The 4848-nt window shown below is 40.7% G+C and overlaps 1 long non-coding RNA gene across 1 annotated transcript; it reads left to right on the top strand.

Moving 5' to 3' along the window:
- The first annotated feature begins 930 nt into the window (after positions 1 to 930).
- Positions 931 to 4093, top strand: LOC105373745 (uncharacterized). Its single transcript, XR_923588.3, has 3 exons — positions 931 to 1001; positions 1458 to 1566; positions 3893 to 4093. It is a non-coding gene; the product is annotated as an uncharacterized LOC105373745 (long non-coding RNA).
- The last annotated feature ends 755 nt before the right edge of the window (positions 4094 to 4848 follow it).

Below are 4848 nucleotides of genomic sequence, written 5' to 3'. Positions count from 1 at the left end.
ATGACTTTCCAAACTTGTTAGAGCCATGCTGTCAATAAAAATGTCACTAGCAGGAGAGAACGTCTCATCAAGACTTCAGCGCTGCCTCATTTGTAAAGGGAGTCGCTAGGCGCCTTGGAAAAGACACCTGTCAGGTACTGCTTTTCTTTCAAAAAATGAGACTCTCCCTGGGGCATTTTCCAGCTGCTGCCTTTTTACCTCCTTCACCCAAGACTGGCCAAGGAAGCTTATATTTAGGCAGTAACTCACTCTTCCTTGGCTGTTTTCCTGTCTCTAGGACAGAAGGGAGTAATCAGCTTGGATCTTGAAGAAATTCCCAGGTAATACCAAAAAGCAATCAACCTATTCAAACTGTTGCTACAGTATAGGAAATGGAGAAGAATAGCCGTTCACTTTCTTCCTTCATGTTTTGGAGTAAACTCCACTTTTATTTTGCTAATGTACAGTCAGATCCTGTGTCCTAAATCTGTATTTTGAACTCCTTTTCAAAAGAAAGGAGTTAAGTTCTAGAAACTCCTAGACACTTGATGTGTTTCTCATTTATGTTATTTTTCAGGATCTAGAACTGAACCAAACCTGTGAATCATTCAACAAACACTTACTGGATACTGATTAAGTGCAAGTCACCTGTGGAGAATTCAAGATGGCTGCAAATACTTGTACCTACCTTCCATTGAGAAGCGGGGTCTTTGCCCCCATCCTTGAATCTGGGCAGCCTTTGGGACTGCTTTGAGCAATAGAATATGGCAGAAGTGTTGCTGTACCAGTTTTGAGGCCCAGACCTCCAAGAAACAAACAACTTGAGCTTTCCAACTTCCTGTCTCTCAGGATGCTCTCTCTGGGAGCTTTGAGCTGCCATATAAGAAGTCCGACTTCTGTGCCCACCACATTGGCGAGGCCACGGGCAGGCAATCTGGTCAACAGTCCCAGCTGAGCCCAGGCTCCTAGCCAGCCCTGCCAAGGTGCCAGACACGTCAGTGAGGCCTCCTGGAATCCTCCAGGTGAGCCCACAATAGATGAACACCATCACTATATGGAGAGAAGACTCACCCAGCTGAGCCCAGCCCATATTTCCAATCCACAATATCGTGAAATATAATGATGGCCATTTTAAGTCACCTAACAATCCCAAGTTGGAATAAATATTCTGCTAAAATCTGAACTCCAGTGTGCTTTGAGAGGTTGAAGTGACAAATGAGCCGGTGTGGGTAATGTGCACCCCACGGGGTCTGGCATGCAGTACTCATTCAATGAGAGGAAGAGCTCCTCTCTTCCTCTAGCCTATGTTTGTCAGTGTTACTGGAGTGTCCCAACTCTCCTCCTGGCTTTCAGCTTTTGCCTCTTGATTCCTTCTCCACATCCCTGCCAGAACCAACTTCCCAAAGCATAGTCATGTGTGTAATAGGGCAGATACCATTCATGGTCCCTGCAGCATCAAATTCTGTCTTCTTCTTCAGTAACAGGACTTTGAATATTAATTGGATATACAGAGGCACAGACTGAAGACTACACTTTCCAGCCTCCCATGCAGCTGGATGGAGCCATACAACCAAGTTTCGGCCAAAGGTATGTAAGCAGAAGTGGTTGCACAACTTCCAGAAATGTCTTTCCAGGGAGAGACCTGCCCTTCTCCTTCTTTGTACTACCTGGAATCCAGATATGTTGCCTAGAGCCCCATCTGCCGTCTTAGATAATGCTAACGAGAGCCACATCCTTACGGTGGCAGGCGATAAAGCTGGAAGGAGTATGGGATCCTGACTCATCTGTGGAACTGTCTGAGCAGCCCTGGATTCTTAGTAGTCCCTAGATTTTTATGGGAGAGATAAAAACTGTGGATTTAAGGTCTCCTTAGTTAGTTTGTTTTTGGCCAAATGCAGCTTTACCTAATTTTAACTGAAACACCTCCTAAGTATTAGGTGCAGACTATAAAGATGAACACAGTGTGGCTCCTGCTCTTCTGGAGTTCACAGTTATGAGTGAGTAGAACAATGAAGGGCTATAGAATAGGTGGAACAAATATTTATTTCACATTTTCTGTACCAGGGATAGTTTTTCATTCTTCATCTCACTTTGTCTTCACAATGGTCCTGTGAAATAATGATGGTTAAATCCATTTTATAGAAGAGGAAAAGGACTCAGAAAGTTGAGGCCATTCGCTTAGGGTCATGCTAGTAAGAAGTGAACCCCAAGACTATAACCCTTCCCTTCTGGATCCCAGCCCTTTCCCATTTCTGCCACATCACATCACAATCATCACAATAAGAAGGGTGCTGTTGAGGTCCAACTAAGGAGGTGACTTTTACACTGAACTTTGAAAAATTAGTAAATGTTTGAAAAACACAGAATGGGGGAACAGGAACTCTCTTTCTCTCTCTCTTTCTTTCTTTCTTTCTTTCTTTCTTTCTTTCTTTCTTTCTTTCTTTCTTTCTTCTTTCTTTCTTTCTTTCTTTCTTCTTTCTTTTCTTCCTTTCTTCCTTTCTCTCTTTCTCTCTTTCTTTTTCTCTCTTTTCTTTCATTCTCTCTTTCTCACTCTTTCTCTCTTTCTTTCTTTTTTTTGAGACAGTCTTACTCTGTCACCAGGGCTGCAGTACAGTGGTGCAATCTTGGCTCACTGTAGCCTTCACCTCCCAGGCTCAAGTGATCCTCCCACCTCAGCCTCCCAAGCAGCTGGAACTACAGGCACACCCCACCACGCCCTGCTAGTTTTTGTATTTTTAGTAGAGATGGGGTTTTGCCATGTTTCCCAGGCTGGTCTTGAACTCCTTGTGCTCAAGCGATCCATCTGCCTCAGCCTTCCAAAATGCTGGGATTACAGGAGTGAGCCACCACGCCCGGCCAATTTTTTTATTTTTCGTGGGGACGAGGTCTCACCGTGTTGCCCAGACTCAAGCAATCCTCCCACATCAGGATCCCAAACTGTTGGAATTACAGGTGTGAGCCACCACACCTGGTCTTATTTTTTTTTTTTAAATCTCCAGAGTCTGGCAGTGTCTTGTATATATAGCATGCAAGTTTTGAATAATTGATTATATTTCAACCTCTAGGGTAAATGGCATATTTTCTTGGAACATACTTAAGTCTTTCTTATAAATTTTTTCTCTCAATTTATTTTATAAAGATGACGTAATGTTGAACCAAACAAGAAAATGGAGACCCAAAGTACACAAATTGACCATAGGCATTGGTTGGTTTGGTATGTATCTAGCCAAGAGAAGAAGTAGGAACTATAAGGCAAAGATCCCATGGCCAACACACCCATACGCAATCACCTATCATTTGGCTTCATCTGCCTCGTAAAATCAGTCTCCTGGCTGCTTGAAGGCAGAGTTGCTTACAGTAAAGACATCAGAGAGGTCTTTGGAAACAGTGGCAATGAGGTTCTTCTGCCTTCCTTGAGCTCCTTAGGTGGTAAGGAGATGATGCTGTCAGAGGGAAATCTTCACCTTCACCTTTTCTATTGATCACTGGTTGATGTCTAATTCTGCTGGTTCATGAATGTTCATGGTGAGAAAATCCACTTTCTACTTATAAGAGATTCAGTTGCTTATTTTTCTGGTCTTAAGAAAACCAACATAGTCTGTGAAGGATAAAGTAAGTTGGTGATTTTTCACTTTCCAAAAGAATTATCTACTTTACCAAGTGATTCACAATATATTCCCTTAAATAACAAGATCCTCTATTGTGTTTAGAGTGTGATTATCTTTACAAATCTTAGTTAACATACAACACGTTGAGAACTCTTGTATAAAATAAACTCTCAAACTTAATGGGGTACTGGTTGGATTTTGGATGGCGGTAGTCTAGCTTGAAGTAGTCTACCTCTAATTCTTCATGGTTTTAAAAGAAAAATCATTGGCTCCACTTATGTTTTTCCATTTTATTTTTCTATTAGGAAAGAACGTGGCTCAGATGGATGTGCCAGAGGAAATGCACCAGGAAATCCCGAGCAGGGTGCAATCAGTCACCATTAATGCTCACAAGTATCAAAGCTACTTGAAGAAATACAGCTACTTATGGATGGATGATAAAATTGAATTCACGAAGCAGTTCCTTCTCCATGAGTGATTTCTTAGTGCTGAAAAACTAGAATTGCATGTGGACTATGAGTGTCAGAACTCCACACTGCAGTTAGCACACTTTACAGAACACGTATTGAATTTTAGCTGAGTCTAGCATCATCTTTTTCAACTCCCAGGACAGCTGTTAAATCATAAAATATTTTGAGATATAAAGCTCTTGCCTCTGAGAGATCTTTCCTTTTTTTCCCCTTTTCCTTTAAGATCAACATCTATGAAATATTATGTGAAGGAATTGATAACTTTAAAAATCAGAAGATATTTAGTGGCTAGCTTCAACTTGATACTTTTAAAAATCCATGATGAATGTTACAAAAAATGAGATTTGATGTTTAAGGAGCATCTGCTTAACCATTGTAACCTGTAGGTAGAGTAATTTGAATCTGATTGTGAAAGGAAATTAAAATAACACAAATCATTTGATGAAACTATCCTCATAGAATTCTAATTTAACTCAAATAATAAGTATTTTAATGGTTCTCCTATGTGCTTATTTTTAATGTCGTATTCTGTAAGTTACAAGAGAGTTGCTTTCATGCATGTGAAATGCAATTCTCTTCTTGCAAAAACTTGACACAATGCTTATCCATTTGATTTGATTGCATTTACGTGTTCATTAATATAATTGAAACATGTAGCTTCCCCCAAGTTTTCACAGGCTCATCCCTAATTAACTGTTGGCATTTTCTCATATTATATGTTAGTATAACTGAGTTAGGGCAATTTATTGATGAAATAGGGAAAGATTGAGCAGAGGACGTGAAGTGGGAAT

The sequence above is a fragment of the Homo sapiens genome, chromosome 2, assembly GCF_000001405.40.
Source record: "Homo sapiens chromosome 2, GRCh38.p14 Primary Assembly".
NCBI classification, from domain to species: domain Eukaryota; kingdom Metazoa; phylum Chordata; class Mammalia; order Primates; family Hominidae; genus Homo; species Homo sapiens.
The sequence above is the reverse complement of the archived record's forward strand: the minus strand, read 5'-3'. Positions and strand labels throughout refer to the sequence as shown.